The sequence below is a fragment of the Homo sapiens genome, chromosome 13 (assembly GCF_000001405.40).
Source record: "Homo sapiens chromosome 13, GRCh38.p14 Primary Assembly".
NCBI lineage: Eukaryota > Metazoa > Chordata > Mammalia > Primates > Hominidae > Homo > Homo sapiens.
The window spans coordinates 35,767,459-35,785,831 of NC_000013.11; the positions used below are offsets into that span (position 1 = coordinate 35,767,459).

Here is an 18,373-nt window from a genome sequence, read left to right on the forward strand (position 1 = left end):
CATGTACCATTGAACAGGCAGATGGTAGACACACATCCTCAAGTTAGAGACTGGAAGATGCCATACATGCAATGTCTTGCTACATGTGGGTGTGTACATCAGCTGAACCCTGGACTAAGAGTCTCAGAATAAATGGCAAACTTTCCAGCTTGAGATGTATTTTCTTGTCTTTAAAGTCTTCTGATCCATAGTGAAAATAAACATAGAGAATGAAGTTTCTCTTTTCTAGGCTCAAATGAAGGGCCTTCCATGTTGTTGGCACTCACTCAAGAAACATTTAAATGAATGATTTGGAAGTGCAGGCAAGCTGGCTGGGACATCTGTCACTGTGCTGATGGCCAGCATGGATTTGGTCGGTCCAGCTGGCTGGGTGTGGCTTCTTGTCTTCCCCTGGTGCTCCTCCTGGAGCTTGGTGGGGGGCGTGGGGGGTGGGGGGCAGGCTACCTTCTAAGGAAGAGCACAGCTTTTCTTCCATTTAGGAGATGTTATAAGAACATTTCCAGGATGCTCCTACACCTGTTTTGTATTTGTTACCCAGTTACTTCCATTTCCAGGTCTGCCTTCCCTGTACATGAGTGCCACCTTGCCCACTACCCATCCAAATGGCCAGGAGTTGTGGAAGGTCCTTCTTTCCCAATTCCCATATGTGGCAGTTTTATCATTTCCAATCCCAGACTTGTGCTTGAGGCTTTCACGCCAAGGCCCAGGTTTTCGATGGCAGGTTTTTGGCAGAGCTGCCAGCCTCGTAAAACAAGGTAATGGTCTTTAGGAAGTAATCACTTTAGCTATTGTTTCCCAGCAGTTGCCAGAGAGTCTAGAAAGGACCCAGTGACTTCACGACAGTACAGTACAGCAAAAGGGAGAACAGCAGCTGCAGCAGCAGCCTGTGGATGGCAGGGAAGGTGACTGCTAATTTTACAGGCACTTGGAGATATTCTGGCACCTTCATAGGACACCAGGGAACCTGCAGTCACTTTTGCTGGCTGACTTTTCAATCTCCTAGCATTGAAAAGCTCGACAGGAAAGAACTTAAATCCATTGTACAGTTTTGCAATTTTCTCTAAGGCCAATATTACACATGGAATGCCTAATGGGAAATTGCTACAAAAGTGGCAGCTAATTACAGGTTAGTGGATAAAACAACACCCTTCTCTGGAGAGCCTGTGCACGTAGGTTGAAGGATAAAATAGGGCTGAATGGTATTTGGTTTATTTGTATTTATCCAAGTCAGTGGCCCAGGCAGGAACGTAATATATGACAAGGGACATTTTTGAAATAGCTGTTTTTGAATTATGCTCATGAAATACACACTGTGCTATGGAGGACATGTGGGAAAGCTACACTCTGACCGCATGACTAATTTTTAAAGCCTTGCATAGAGAGAATTCCCCCTAAGAACACAGCTGGGCTATTCCTTCGTGAACTGAATGTGTCAATTGTGAATTGAACTAAGGTGAAATTTTACTCCAATATGGCAAATGAACTGAGGAGCGTACCCTTCAGCTAAGGTATTATGTAGTAGTTCATACACCAAGTACTATTATTTTATTAACTTTAAGAACATGTTTTACATAAAAACAGGCAACATCAAAAAAGCTCAGTTGATAAATGAACATAATATATCACAGATGATTTCATTCCACATTAACCTACATGTATCAGCTTAAACTGAAGGATTAGGGGGAAAAATTGGATCTCATTCCACCTTTAATTAAGGACACAAATTGTTTGAAAGTTATTTCATTAGGATTCTGAAAATCAAAGATTAACCTATGCCATCTGATCCATGCAGCAAGTGATAAATTCAGTATTTTCAAAAGAAATATTGAATTTTTTTCTTGAGTCAAATTGAAACCTTTCAGAAACTTGTTTAAATGCGCCAAGTCCCTACGCACCTTTTTAGTATGTATGAGCAAAATACTGTTGAATTTCACACTCAACTAATCCTTTAATAATTTTCTTTCAGCCAGAATGAAAAAGGCTAGTATTAATTTCCTAATAAAATTTTTTTTCAAAAGTTATCGAGGATATGACTATAACCTTGGACCAGTTTCAATTTCTTTTTATTTTTTCTGAGAATACACCAAAGATTAATGTCAATGGCAAGTGAGAAATTGTCCCTAGAGAACTATTCAAGGACTTTTTCTTACTACATTTGATTGGACTGGAGTGAACTGACATTATAGCATCTTTATCATCACCTTTAAAATTCTATTTTCTCTTAGTAGCAACAGTGAAGACTTTAGAACTATTACTTACTTTAAATTATTAAAGTATATCACAGACAAAATATTCAATTTTACATTAAAGCAACATTAAGGGTCTCAATTTCATTGAACAGAAACAAATGCTGAAGAAATTTACAGGTATGATTTAATTTTAGAGAGTGTTCTTTCTTTAGGGAACAAAATGAAACTAGATCTCTCATTTGTCTGTATGGGCAAGATATGGTAAACCTCATGATCAAAACACATGCCAGTTAGAAACTTGATCACAGAAATGATGCTCAGTGTTGAAACCCAACAATAAACAAACAAACAAAAACCCCCACTCTAACCAGAGGCATTTAAGCCTCTCCACTGAAGTTCCTGTTTCCCACCAGTTTACGACCCTTAATGTTACTGCATGTATGGTTGCATATTTGAGATGATTAAAAATAAAAGACTGGCTTAAAAGCACCTCCTCCTCTAGTGTGTAATTACATACAAACTAAAGATTCCTTCTGACGTCCTAGGAACCCCATTTGTTACCGTTTCATGTGTAAGCACCATTGAACCAATTTTTAAAGCACATTTGCAGTTATCAAATGTTTAGTGTGTCCTCAAGTTTCATTGATTTGTTTGCCTTTAAGCAAGAAAAGAGTAAAGTGTATTATTTTCCCCTGCTTCTTTTCATATCTGAATTGTCAAAAAATGTTAATTTTGGAAGTGCTTTTAATCACTATTTTCCCCAACAGACTAGAATGGCTCCATGAAATTTGACAATTAAGTAAGGAAATCTTTATCCCCAAAAGAAGCACGTATCTTACCCTCTAAACTGCATGCAAAGTAAGGGTCTGTGTGAGAGTATTTTCCCCAAACTCCTAATGGACATGGCAGACAATGTGTAGAAAAATCTGAGTTTTGAACTGACCAACTTCAAGTCTTTTAAAATCTTTGGGCAAAAAAAAATATCATGTAGCAGTTAAAAAAATTATTGACTTACAAATTATAGAAAAGATATGTTATCTACAATATATGCCAGGTGACCCATTAAATTTAAAAAATGTGTGCGAATGAGTAACTACATTAAAACTACCATCTTGGATCTTGGTGCTTTCCAAAATTCTGAAATCACTATTAAGGAGGGACCATACCAGATTTTTTTGTTGTTCTTTTCCTTGGAGAATGGGGAAGAAGTTGGAAAGAGAAGGAAGTAAACCTTCACTCTTTGGTACAGCCCTGTATAGCAAACTTCAGCCTGGGGCACATTTTTATGGTCAAATTAAAAACCTTTGAGAATAGGAGTTTATCATAGAAATGCTGACAGATCCTAACCCAGAGAAGGGCTAAGAGCAACACAGTAATATTAAGAAAGCTCTCCCTCAGCACGATTGAGCTTCAGCGCAAGGGATAGAGTTGTCTAGTGGACGCCCTTGGCCAGTAAACAACCATGATTTAATGTGCTTGAGACTTGGTCATATGGGAGCTCTGTGACCCTCTAAGCCAAATTTTCTTTTCTTTTTGTTTTCAACTGAAATATGCCTCAAAGGGTAAAGGATTGCAATTTTAGCCTTCATTCATGGATATATTGCTTTCTTTCAACAATATCTGATGGGCCTGTTAACTGCCACCCATGGGGAGCAGGTTGCAGGAAGGTCTCATTGAACACAAAACACCAAGTGTTTTCAGTAGTTTATTCACATTTTTTTTTCTCTGCTTATTTTAATATGCACCACGTGTAAGTTAGATGAGGGCTACGGTAAAAACATTTTTGATGACTGAAATCTTACTTTTCCTTCTAACGATCTGGAGCAAATCACATATTCATTGATCATGACGAATAAAATGATTTCTGCTACAATGTTGAGAAAAAATGTGTTCATTAATATGAACACATGTCTACAGAGATGATTTACACGATGCAAGTAATGAAAGAGTTCTTCCTTAACTAGTCTACTATCAAACTGAAAAGATGAATCTTAAAATTCCCTTGAAAATACCATATGATTGGTCATGTGTCAGTAAAAGAAAGACGGTCCCCATCACCAGGCCACCACCATAAGAGAGCTATATTAAATACTTGGGAAAAAATATGGAAACACCGGTGGTGATGATTAAATTGATAATTACATAGATACACTGCCATAATGATACATATTTGTTCTATGATAAGTGAAATCAAAAATAAGATCAATTTGGTTATAGAAATTCCTTAAAGAACACCACCACTTAATTATTTCAAACTTGAACTATCCCAAGAATGTCGAGAAAAAAATTAGAAAGCACTGGCTAAAAGCAAAGCAATCTGGATACACCAATGTAGTCAGCATGCCTTGTGCTTGTCTGTTAACCCTCTGAGTACATCTCTGACATTCAGGATCTTGGTAGCTTAATGTTAGAAAGATTGCATTCCATCTGATTACTCAAGATTTCTACTTGACTGGTCACATTCCACTGTTTATTCAGCATAGATCACTCAAATTCTACAGTGATGTGCTGGGATCCCCATGCTGAATGGGCCCTGCATTCTTCTGAGCTGCCCTTCTGCAGTGTGCTGAGAAACACCCCCTAGCTTCACACGGTCCAGAGTCCCCCTAGACGTCGATGGGAAAAGGCCTGAGCCATGCACCGCAGGCTCAGTACACTAGATGCTGTAGCAATATAGTTAATGCCCACAGAAAAAGCAGTAATTCAGAGAAAGAAAGGAAAATGACAGTCCACTGCAGGTAGGTCTCTGCCCATTGCATTCTTCACACTTTTAGAGTTGAGGCCAGGCTGTAGAGCTACTCCATAGCCTTGGAATAGTGCTTTGCTTTATATTTCTAGAGAAAGCAGTAATTTCCAACTAGTTCAGTGTTCCTCATTAATATGGAATCTACCTACACACCAACACTCTTTCTGGTGTTCTGTGCCCCCTACCCCCACCTCCCCCCCAAAAACAACTCAACTAATTTACTGATTTATGCTACTTTGTGATTTTGCGTGTTATCACTTCCGGATGCTCTAAAAGGGGGGGAAAAAAACCTCAATAAACGATATGCTTTTTACATGTCAGGACAACACAGACCACAGAGATGAACCTAAATGTAAAAGAGCAAAAAATTTTGGTGATGGTGTTGCAAAAGTAATGACATGTGATTTAAAAATCCATATTAATGTAGACCATAGTTTCAGGGTTGAAGAGTAAAAATGCAGCAAGTGAAGATCAATGTGCATTTGAAAATAAAGGACTATAGAAACGTTGTTCACAAATTTTAAGACTCTCAGGTATTAAAGTATATTCAAAACAGAGAACATAGGTACTGTTCAGCCACCAGATGCAAATTTCATGAGATATCCCTCTCTGGTTGTCTCGTGGATCCCAGAGCCCAGCAAACCTTGGGAATACATTTGAGTTGGGCACCTGCCTCTAAGACACCCCAGGAGAATCCTCTCTGAGCACTGTGGTGATGCACAGAACCTGTGAATCCCCATTCTAAAATGGAATCTGTTCCAGAAGAAACTCAGGCCTGGAGACACTGCACTAGGGAGATAGATTTGGTAACAAGAGTGAAAATACAGGTCTCAGACAGGACTTGGCCCAAAGACAGAAAAAACACTCTGACCTCCTGGACAGCTAAAGACAGTGGTATTTAAAAAAAATCATTTTAGGGGATGGAGGTTTTATCCTCAGGGGTATCATCTAGGTCTTTCATCCTGATCTTCCTAGGAGACTATATAGGTAACCTAAAGGTGCACATGGAATTGTCTTGCCAGTGGTTTATTCACTGAAAACTTATTGTTAGAACATTCTGGATTGTGTTCCCAGTGTGCTTTCTCCTCAGCCATCTTGCAAAGCAACTGCCTCCAGTCCCCTTGTGCCCCAGCTCTCCTATGTGTGGATTTCATACTAGATGTAGATTGCACAGTGATGACCACAGTGCGTGGAAAAGCAGGTGAGAAAAATCACAGGATCTTATTCCCTCTTTCTGTTTGAAATTCCAGCCCTGCAGAGCACCGGGCAATTTATTGCTCTTTTCCACCAGTTGTTTCTTTCCTGTAGATGTCTGACACTGAGTAGAGAGACCCTCACTCACCAAGCACAAGACAAGCTGTGGTGACTCCCTGAGAGTCTGCGCTGGCGCTAGCAGCAGCTGATATGGAAGCAGCATTTCTGGGGCGTCATCAGTACATCTTCATGTGGAGACAATTTGGGGGGCACCATCTATTTCCTGGGTCAAGCTCTTTGCCACAAACCCAATTCCCTCCACTTGGGATGCAGAACTCACTGCAACTGACAGTCATATCTCTAATGAAAAAAAAAATCTGTTTCTGAATAGGATTGTGAAGAAGAAAGAACCGTGCGTGTGTCGAAGTTATAAACCTGCCACGTTCTAAACCCACAGAAAAGGACAAACAAGATATCATTCTAAATGTCCTTCTTTTCTGGACATTTCAGCATCTAACAACACCCCTTGATCTGCAGTAAAATCAAGAAACATGTGTGTATACATCCAAAGGCCTGAAAAATTCCCAAACAAGAATTCTCAATAAAATTCTATGCACTCAGAGGGTTAACAAGTGCTATATTACATACTGCAGATCCTAGCTTGACTGATGAAAACATTCATTGCTTCTAAGTTTAAAAAAAAATTGCAAATTGGCCTTAACCCTTTGAGGACTCTATTAGCAGCAAATTACCATCTTCACAATCACCACGTGTCATCTTATTCAGTAAAGGGAAACCGCTACAAAGATACCTGAAAACACTTTCAGTTCTGCCATTCAAGCATTGAGCGCTAGATAGATCAGATGAAACTGTTTTACACAAATTTGGGGGAAAAAAATCTCAGAGTCTCAAAGGGTTAAGCTAGGACTTTGAGTAAAAGGGTCTTATTAAAAGGGCGAGTTAGGGGAGCGAACAGTCTCGGAGGAGCTTGGGGAGTAGTCTTCCGATTCCGAGTTGAGTTCGGGAGGAGCTGGCTGCGCCTTGTACCGGCTCCTCACATCCTGGTTGCGTCTTCGTCGGAAAACCTGCCTCTCCTTATCAAGAGCGGTGGTCTAGCAGGGGCATAAAATGAGAAAGAGGACAATTAGGGCGAGGGAAATGGCAAAACAAACTCTTTCTAGAACTTTCTGAGGTCAGAAAAAATACACTGGCCAAGTTCACCTGTCCATCATGGCACACTTTTTGTTGACAGTCACCACTCTCAGGGAGCCCTCTGCTCCCCACAAATCCAGGTCTTTAAGGGACCTGGTCATGACATCTGCAGGCACAGGCAGGATGGATGGTGTACTGGGTTTGACCCTTCCCCACTCCTCCCCAGACTTTTGCTAGCTGCACATTTATTTACCCTTGGTGGCTCCTAGGCTAGCCAGAGGACACTCCCACCTTCTCTGAAAAGGGGTGCCTGAGTCCTGTGTGTAAAAATGCTCCCTGGGCAACTTCAATTAACATGCAGCTCAGGGTAGCTGCATAATACAGATGAAAGGTGATGAAGTTGTCAGTCAGACATGGAAACGGAGCCACGGCTCATCCTGTTCTTTTAGCACCTCCTCACTCTAAATGATCTTATTATCTGTTGATGAGGGAGTGTGGCTGAATTTCTGGGAAGGATTGGTTTAATTTTAATGAAACCAATGCCTGAAATTGAACACTGCTTTGAATGCAATTAAACCAAGTGGAAACCTTCCCACGGATTTCACTTTACAAAGTTCATTTTCATCATAGTATTTGGTAATTTATGAAACTGAGATTCAATTTTGTAGGTATTCCAACTCCCAGTCTCTATGCCTCAATTTCCTGAGGAGACCTCCGATGATTCCCCGGATGTGTTATCTGCCTGTAGCTCTGGATGTTATCATGACATCAGAATGGGGGACAGCATGACTTCATCACAGATTTAATGGGTGTGGGGGAAAAATGGGGTCATTACAGAGAAACCTTACACAGAAAGCAGAAGAGTAGGTATGAGGTCTGAAGAAAAATATAGAACACATATAAAAGTTGAAGGCGTTCTTATTTGAAAATCCCCCTTAAAAAGGATGTAGCCTGGAGGTTATTCTGCTTTTAAGAGATTACTTTTCTTCTACAGGGATATATGCCACCATTTTTCCTCTTGAAAATTTACTGTTAGCTCCTTCAAAGAACAGAGATAAATTTACAGCCAGCCTGGTTCTGAGAACAAAGTGAAAACTAAGCCCCTCATACAATTGCAGTATAGCATTAGGGCAATCTTAGATCTAAAATAGGCCAATCAAAGTTCCAAAATGAAGTAATAAAGAGATAAAGAGAGGCAGTGTGTAGAACCAGTACAGTAAATGGCTTCGTTAGGCTGAACTGCTCTACTTCAGAAACTATCCACACACTGAATGAACAGGGTTACAAACCAATGAGGAAGATAAACTTCAATAATTCACTTCTTGTCTCACTAGATTGTTAATACAATGATTCAGTAACTGGTCTGTTGAAACGTCTACCTTTGATTCTTGTTGAATTTTTAAGGATCCTCATATAGTTCTTAGTCTTAAACCTATTGATTTTATGATATTTTCAGTATCATAAACCCAAATTCCTAACTTTATTTAAAACATTGTAAAGTTACGACACATGGTATTTTGCTTTCAAAGCAAACTGAAATGTTCTGTTTGTGTAGAGTTGAATGTTTGTAAAAAAAACAGACGTCTATTTAGTCTGTCTTACATAAAAAGCATTTTGTAGTTAATCCAAAAGTAATATAAACACCTCTTGGCCATAAAAAATCTTTCTATTTCTACCTCCTTGAGAAAGAAAAAAGTCATTGGCATTGGAATGAATTCTGACTTGTGAACAGAGGCAGTCAGATGTGGGGAAGAAAAGCACATCAGGTTTGTGGTCAGGGATTTTGCGTCCCACTCTGTCCATTGCTGACCATCCACCCAGGTTTCTCATCTTTTAAATAAGAAGCACCTTTCCACTCTCACAGAGTTGCTGTAGGTAGAAATGGATGTGCAAATGCTTTCTAAACAGCCAAGACTCCCAGAAATGTAAGGTGTTCTTTTGTTTACAATTTGATGTAAGACACTGTTTTAAAATCAAGTAACTGCAGGTCATAGAAAAGCAATGTGCACAAAGCTCACATTAGAATTTAACTCAGTACTTTCCCTCTTTCCTTCAGTTTCACTGGCACCTTCTTGATATTTACTTCATTTCCCCATTATCCACTCAATACTTCACACTCTTGGCTGCAGCCACTGAAATACACCATTCTCCACAAATACTGTAATTCAGTTTATGCAGAAGCTGGTGGCACTTAATATTGAGCCCATGCTTGGATGGTCCCCTCACGCTCACTTTCACCTTCATTTCTGCAAATCCTTGTAAGAACAATTATATTCTCTTCCTTACTTGTCCTGCCTAGAAAGCCCTTCCCCTGTCCCTGTTGAAGTAGTCAGTTCTGGCCACTCCTACAGATTTCCCTACTCAGCAGCTTTCTAAATGTTCACCTTTGTAGATAAGACCTCATGCACAAATGCTCCTGAGCTTTCAGGTGCATGGATCCCCAGGATCCTCATGACACGTATTCTTGGAAATATATCACGGTCATGGGCATGTGTCATGAGTGGTTCAAGGTTGTCTCTATTGGATTTGCAGACTCTTAAAGTTGAATGAGGGTTTATAAAGCATTTTTGTCCAATGTTCTGTCTTTACAGGCAGGGAAACTGAGACCTAGGCATGTGGAGAGACTTGCCCATGTGCATTGCTAACTAGGAACAGAACTCAGTCTTCTCCTGTGCAAAGCCCAAGCAGTTTCTTCCCATTTACTCTGAAGTTTATTGAAATGATAAATTAAAGTCACTGCACTCCCAGCAGCTCAACCCTTCTCTGTTCCCAGCCAGCATGAGCTAGGGAAAGACATTGGCCACAGGTAGTATCAAAGACCAAAAGACAGTGGCTTCTCCACATTGATGATCAGAGAAACTTCTCTTTGTAGAGCAGATAGGATCCACCATGTACACAATCCCGTGTACACATTCTGAATTTTGATGCTCATAAATTCCTAAGGAGACCTGAGTCTGATGACAGAGGTGCAGTTTTCCACCCCTCAGGTCCTCATAATATTCTCAAACCAGCATTGAGGATTCCCAACTGACCTGCTCTCAGAGATGTTCCAGAGGGTGTCTCTGACTACAGGTCTCTCCTTCTGGGCCCCCGCCCACTCTGCTTAGAGAAAGTATTTTAGGAACTTCTTCCTTCTCTGTTTCCATGACAGTCTAGTACCATTATCGTTGTTCATCCTGCCTGCACCATAATTGATCCTAATTAACTGTTTTCCCTACCACTTTGTAGACTCTTTGGAGGACCAAGGTCAAGCGTTGGACATCGTCTCTGTGTTTTCCACAGTTCACAGCACACAGTAGATATTCTACGAACTTTGTGGCATTTGAAAGATGGGAAAGTATAATGGAAGTGATCTGTTTCTCTCTCTTCAAAAACTTTGTGGCTTTTGAGATATGAGAAAGTACAATAGAGGTGATCTGCTTCTCTCTGGAGCACCCACCTTCCGGTCCATTCTGCACACAGCTGTCAGGTCAATTTCTACAAGGTCCAATTTATTTACAGCTCCTCATAAAGCCCAATTCCTTGTCCCAGCCTTTGCAATGTGCTTCCAATAAAAACTTCCAGGGTGTATACCTATTATTACTCAAAATGATCCTATGGCATCAGTAGACTCATTGTCTTCCTTTACTGGACACTTGATTTTCAAGCACAGCATCTGTTTACTCTGCCTATGGTTAACTATACCTTAATTTCCCTTTGCATACCTCCTCACTCCCACATTCCATGATCCTGATGAAGTTGACCCTACTCCTATCTCTGGGAGTAGGGTTGGGGTGGGCTTGTGACTCAGGAGTAAGCCTGAGTTTACTGCATTCCCCAATACCCATGAATGGCCCAAGATGGGCACCCGACCCCATCAATAGGACATGGTAAGACTTTTGCTGGAACTTCACATTTATAATGAATCCCAATTTTGAGAGACTGGCAGGCCTGGAGCTGCTTCTCCCATCCTGGGAACCATGTGAAGTCCAACACTAAAGCCAACACAGGGAGGCAGGGTTGGAGGATGTCAAGAAACCAAGCATTAACTGAGTGCTGGATCCATCCATCACTGAACTCAGACTCAACCTGTGAATCTTTCAGGCTATGTAAAAGAATACATTTCCTTTTTCACTTAAGCCAGTTTGGTTTTGGTTTTCTTCACTTGCCATAAAAACAGTCCAAACTGATGTATCTCTGAATGTACTTTAATCATTCTCACATCTACCTCTTGGTTCAAGGTACTCGCCAACATGAAATTACCTCTCTTTCTCTCTCTGCCCACTCAAATTTATTTATTTATTTATTTTTATTTTCTCGGAGTCTCACTCTTGTTGCCCAGGCTGGAGTGCAGTGGCACAATCTTGGCTCACTGCAACCGCCACCTCCCGGGTTCACAGGCACCCACCACCACACCTGGCTAATTTTTGTATTTTCAGTATAGACAGGGGTTCACCATGTTGGCCTGGCTGGTCTCGAACTCCTGACCTCAGGTGATCCACCTGCCTCGGCCTCCCAAAGTGCTGGGATTACAGGTGTGAGCCACTGCGCCCGGCCAATTTATTTATTCTTGAAGACTTGATCAAATTTTACCACCTGTACCATATATTTTCTTCCTAAACTCCTTAGGCAAGAATTGTTTTGACCAAACTTTTGGGAATTAATTGCACACTGACCTTCTATTATTTTTCTTTGCATATTCCCCAAATACCTTGCCAACTACTCTATGGTAGAATTTGAAACTTCTTTGCATTTTCCAGATGATTAGTAGACTGTGGCACACATATTAAGTGTGTATTAAACATTTCTTAGTGAATACGGCATTATTTTAGGGGACTATATACTTTCTGAATAATAACAATAGCAAAAAATAGAATTCAAAGCAACTCCAACACAAAAAAGAAGTAAAAAGTATTAAGAGTCAATATTTAAGACTATAACTTATGCTTCAAATATGACCAAATTCTTATGTCAGATAAAGTTAAAATTCTCTTATGAATTCACTCATCCTACAAGCATTTATTGTGGTCTAATTTCTTATCATACTAAACACTGTCATGTATGATGTTTAGAAGTTTGTGGCTACAAAATTAACTTGACTCTAAAATATATGCAGTTCATCTTTTCCAATTGAATTCTGTAGCCCATATATGCAGTTTGGGACAGATGAAGTTACCAAGGAAATAGCACTGTAGGCTAATATATAATTTTTACAAGGTATACTCATAAAACATGTAATCCAATTGAAAATTTCTTCCCCGCCCCTGAAAAAAAAAAAAGCATTTGAAACATAATTTGTTCCTCTGAAATCCTGCATCACAACTTCAGAGTGTGAGCCCTTTCAACCATTTCTAAAAGGCAGCTTTACTATTTTTTTAGGCAGGGGAGTCCTCAAGAGTCAACTTGATTTTGTGTGTGTGTGTATGGCTAGCTTTACTCTTTATCAATCACAAAAAAATCCCCAGACATCAAGCAAATAGGGTCTCTTCAGAACGCCTATTTTTGTAAATTAAGTATGTCCTCAGGTATAGGCTTGAGGCTCCATGAACACTTAAGAGTTCCTAACAGATTTATTATTTTATTAGTTATTTTGTTCACAGTTTGTAGCTTTGTTGGAACCTACATGAATAGGCTTGCAGTAGAATTCCCAAGTGTTTCCTTAGTAAGTTACCACTTCACTAAGAGATCCTAAGAGACTCTGAAGAGTGCATTATCACATTTTGGTGCTAATTATCACAGGTTAGAGGTAAGCAAGAAATCTCTTGAGATTCTGGAGTTGACCAGTGGTAACCAAGGATGCAGCTCTAACCTAGTTACTTCAGATATGTGCACAATAGTGACTGCCATGCTGGGTACTGGGTGAGAGCTGAGTAATGATGGCTTGGGGGAAGCTGGTAAAGAGAGAACACATGGTTGATTAAATAAAATGGTATAGAGAAATGGACTAATATAAACCTGCCCTATCCAGAAGAAACACCGCATATTCCTACCACAATCTGTAAGCCCTGGCTTATCACAAAGCCCTTAGCAGATGCTAGATCAAGTGTGAAAGCAGAGGAACGGTAAAATAATGCCAGCTATCTCAGCAACTCAGGTGGCTGCACATGTGGTAGCTGAAAATCTTAGGGAAATCCATCCCCATCGTGTTGGTGCCTGCCGTAACACCAGGCATACATAAATAAAAGACAGTGCTTGCCTATTATCAGATTTATTCCCATAAAGGATACATCTACTGAATTTGGCCTGTGGCCTCTTCTGTTACAATGAAATGACAGTATCCTCCACATGTGCTCAGATAGTTTAAATCCTTCGTTCTGACATTAAATTGGGAAAATCAGTATAAAGACATATGAACTACCCATCTGGTATGTCTAACGTTAAAGGAAAAACATAGCATAGAGGAGGAAGGTCAGGAATAATCAAGAACATGAATTGAAGCATTAGCTTAGGTTTTGCCGGTCTGAGTCACCCCACGTCTCTATGCTTGTCTTGTCTGGTAGCTTAAGTTTAATCCCCTTGGAAGCAGCAGTAGGTGGAAGTCAGGAGAATTAGCTTTTTGTCCTAGTTCAGCTAATTATGTGACCTTGGACATGTTTTCTAACCACATCGAGCCCCAATTTCCAGGTCCATAGACTGAAAGGGGGTTATTGTGCATAATCCCTAGGGAAACTTTCACCTATGAAATTCTATGAATATTCTTAATATCACCATCAATCTACTTAATGGGTTATGTTTTTCTCTTAGCAAACAATAGGCCTTACAGTCTATGGACCAAACATGTTTCTGTTCCGCAATGCTTGCAGGATTCACAAGAGATGTACTCACTTTCATTGTGAGGCAATGGTTTCTGTCATGGCAGTAATTATTGGATTTAAGTAACTGCATTTTTCAGAGGCAAACATTGACTGCTTTTCCTTTTTTGCTTTTCTTAATTTATTGCTAGCCATCACATATAGTCTTCATTTCATTAATAAAAGAACATTATTGTGCATTTTGCCTTTTAGCCCATCCATTATTCATGCTACCTAGGAGACTGAACTGGGGATGCAGCTGCTGGGACATTAATCTCAGGAACCCTTTCTTTTGCTTACCCTTACTCTGTGGGGACTACATTACGATTTGCTTGTCAGTTTGGAAATGTTTTGCTTGCTAGTAAAATTAAACTGACAAATCGATTGAAATATCCACCCTCCTCATTTTATTGGGCTTACTCTCAGGCTTATTGCAGTTCTGTTTTGTTTTGCTTTCATATCCTTTTGAGGTCTTGCCAGAAATGACACAGTATCTGAAGACAGGGCATGGCTTTTCTTAAAGATGACCATCAAAATGGCAAAAGGAGGCCTTCTTGGGATGCAACTGAGTAGCCTTCCAAGCTGCTTACTTTCTTGGCAAGACTATCTTAAATATTATTCCCCATTTTCCTGGGAGAGCTGACCTTATGCTTCTGCACTACTAATCTTAAACATAGGCTTCTCCTGCTGACCTGGTTCTTAATAGAGTCTTAAATTGGCCTAGCTCTGCAGTGGGTTTCTGATGGCCTCCCATCAGACAGTTAAAATTACAGCCAATTGGTGGCGGTTGAGCTCAGGACAAAATTTGTGTGCTTCCTCTGCCCGACAGCCCCTGATTTTCTTATAGGAGCCCAACCTCAGCGGAATTGCCATGTTTGTTCTCCATCATATCAGTAAACTAAACATGAACCAAAAGCACAGTCTGCCTTAAGAAAATCTATGAAAATTTAGTGCCTACAAAGCAAGTAAGTCAGGGATAGTTCCTTTAATTGCAGAAACCATTTTAACCTTGCCAAAAAGCTTAGTCCTGGATTGCTAAAAGTGGGATGTTATTTTAGAGCATCTCATATGTGATTTGATTGCCCAAACTTTGATGTATCCCAAATTCTTCAAAAACATGTCTATCCTGAAAAAATCAGTGAAAAAATGGTCCCTTCTTCGGAGAGTTCAATCATTTATTTGTTAACTTAACAAATATTTATTGAAGGCCTCTTCTACTAGGCAGTGGAGACATAGTTTTTAACAAGCCCTAATCCTGTTCTTGTGGAATTTGCATTTGTACAGATGGTGCCTTTTAATTTAGACATATTTTCCCCCTAGAAAGGGTGTTGGAAAACTCTTCTGGAGAGGGCCAGATAGTTAATACTTTAAGTTGTGCAAGCCACATGTTTCTCTGACTCAACTACTCAACTCTGCTGCTGTAGGGCAAAGGCAGCCATAGACAGTTTGTAAATGAATGTGTGTGACTGTGTTCCAATAAAACTTTATTTACAAAAAAAGGAAGTGGGCTAGATTTGGCCCATTGGCCATAGTTTGCCAAGCCCTGTCCTAGAGGATCACATTTTAAACTTATACTTCATCAGAATTTTTGGCTATAGCTACTTCAGGTAAAACATAATGCCGCAAATGCTCACAAGAAATATAAACATATACATTACTGAGCGGTTTACTCTAATCAGAGCATTAAAACAGTTTATGATTCTACTTTAGTAACAAATGCCTCTCTCTGGAGAGACATCAGTTTTCTCAGGAAAATCTGTGGAGTGGGTGATTTGCTCTTGGAAGTGAGGGAAACAGAAAGCAAATTTTTTTTTTTTTAGTTTCTTCTTTGGGCTGGGGTGTGTGAAAGCACTTTTGCACAAGCAGCTAATTTAATTCTCACCACAAATTTGGAAGGTGGATAACACTCTTCACCTTTTCGTAGGTGTGGAAAATCAGACAGAGAATGTAACTCGCCCAAGGTTACTGCAGGAAATGGGGCGGACTAGATCCAAACCCAGGGCTTCTTGACTCCAAAGCCACACTCTCTCTGTACACTGGGCTGCCAATCTTTAATTAAGTTAATTGAATCTCAATCTCCATGACTTTTTTTTGAGACGGAGATTCGCTCTTGCTGCCCAGGCTGGAGTGCAGTGGTGTGATCTCGGCTCATTGCATTTCCGCCTCCCGGGCCCAAATGATTCTCCTGCCTCAGCCTCCTGAGTTGCTGGGATTACAGGTGCCCACCACCATGCCCAGCTAATTTTTTGTATTTTTAGTAGAGACGGGGTTTCACCATGTTGGCCAGGCTAGTCTTGAACTCCTGACCTTAGGTGATCCACCCAACTCGGCCTCCCAAAGTGTTGGGATTACAGGTGTGAGCCACCGCGCCCAGCCTCCAAGACTGTTTAATTTCTAAAAGTGTCATGTGTCTGACATATATTTGAGAATTGTTTATTTCAGCCTATGAATACTTACACCCTTTCTTAGCAAAAGGTGTGTTGATACTTATAATTACGTTCTTTATGTATGATTTCCTGTGCATTTATACCTCATAAAGCCTCTATCCTCTCAATGAACCTCACTAAGGAGCATTCACAAAGTATGGCAGGAATGAATATGTAGAAAAGAGCATAGATGTTTACTTTTAAGTCAAAATGAGGGAAAGAGATTCTGAGGCAAGGGCAGAATAAATATGATACTACACAATTTTCAGTCAATCTAGAATCATCAGGAATCTTAGGAAAATGTTAAAATCTCTCTTCAGTTTACACTCAATGATTAAGACTTGGAATGCCATGACATTTTCTCATTTTTAGTAATAAGTAAGCTAAATTTTAAAAAGACTTATATGTCATTGGAATCCTCTCTTAAGGGGCCTCTGAAAACAAAATAAAAGAAAATAAAACCTCAGTGAGCAACCTGTTTGAGTTGGGAAATGTAATGCAGATGTTTCACCATTCCCATGTTCTTTCCAATGACCCTTGGTGACCTTCACGCCACAACAGGCATAGTATCACTCATCTTTTGAGCCTATGGCCTAATAGCTCATGCTTGGGTACAAGGTACAACTGCAAGACCAATCCTAACTACTTTCCTGAGACTTCTCTCTAATCACAGTTTGAGTGGTTTTGAAGTTTAAATCTATGACTTTTCGATGTGTTAAACTGAATCCCCCAAATTCTGTGTTACAGAGGGAGCCTCTGGAGTGGGTGGAGCATCTGCCCTGGCTGCCAACCATGCTCTGGCTGTCCCCGGGGACAGCGTTCTCACTCTGCAGAGCAAAGCCAGGACAACTAGCCACCGAGCAACCTGCAATGCATTGCAACTTGCTGTGTACATTTGGCTGCTTCTGGCCGAGGCGGGCCCTACATCCCTTCTCACACCACACGGAGGTTCCTCCCTGGCTTCCAGGGGAACAGTTTTCTCAAACCTGCACGGAGCAAGATGCGTTTAACTGACCCCATTCCTTTTAACAACCGAGCATGACAGCGCGGCCATCACCGCTCTGCCTCATTACTCACTGTTTCAGGACGGTGCTTGAATCCAATATGCACATTTTAGTCACATCTTGCCTGAGAACTCAACCACCCTTTTGTCCTAGCTCACCTCCCCATTTTATCTTATTTCTCATGTTTAGCTTATGTCTTGTTTTGATATTTGTTTTATTTAATCGGGTTACCCAGTTCTAGCTGTTGCCCTGTTCTGTGTGCTGAAGGTGCAGGATTCTTCTCCATGTGTTACAGGGCATAGCACTTGCCATGGTGACAGCTTCACTTGGGAAGGTAGAAATGTGTGTGACAGCGTCCCCTTTGAATAAGGATGCATTTCCAGGAAGGGGAAAATATAACGGGATGCAAATGTTCTCCAGTGGCTTGCAGCAGGGGGAAATGGTGGCTTCTTAGGTCAGGAGAGTGTGCAATAGCCCAGTGAGCTCACACCTGGGGCAGCGTCCTCCCTGGACTCTGGGTGACAGGAGCAAAGTCTCCTGGATGCGTGGGTCAAGTGAAGGATGCTGCTCCCTTGGAAGCAGCTCTCTGGTATGAGGCTGGAGAATGGAGAGAAAGGGGAAAACAAATCCCCACTATTTGTCTACAATCACCAAAAAGCCAGTTAAGAGAGACAGACCAATTCTGGGCACCCTGAGGAGATGGTTTTCCCAGCCTGTGCCCTCATGTGATCTGCTTTACAAAAAGCAAGCGCGACTCCCAAGTGTTCGGCTTACAGCAGTAAAAACAGCCATGAGCGCTTTAAACACAACAATTGGGAGCAGGGATGCTCGCCTGTAATGATTGTTTGTGTTAGAAAGTTGGCTGCCACCATGGTTAGACAAATGCTCCCAC

The 18,373-nt window shown here is 40.7% G+C and overlaps 1 protein-coding gene across 6 annotated transcripts in view; it reads right to left on the reverse strand.

The window, feature by feature from the left end:
• Positions 1-1,193: 1,193 nt before the first annotated feature.
• The window catches only part of DCLK1 (doublecortin like kinase 1), a 363,288-nt gene continuing 346,108 nt past the window's right edge, over positions 1,194-18,373 (reverse strand). For 5 of the 6 annotated variants that reach the window (NM_001330072.2, NM_001330071.2, NM_004734.5 and 2 more), the window contains one exon: positions 1,194-7,241. In NM_001330072.2, coding sequence (NP_001317001.1) covers positions 7,077-7,241 — 165 coding nt within the window. In that variant the 3' untranslated portion in view covers positions 1,194-7,076. Of the gene's footprint in view, positions 7,253-18,373 lie in introns of all 6 variants that reach the window. The other variant, XM_017020847.2, reaches the window with a different exon arrangement.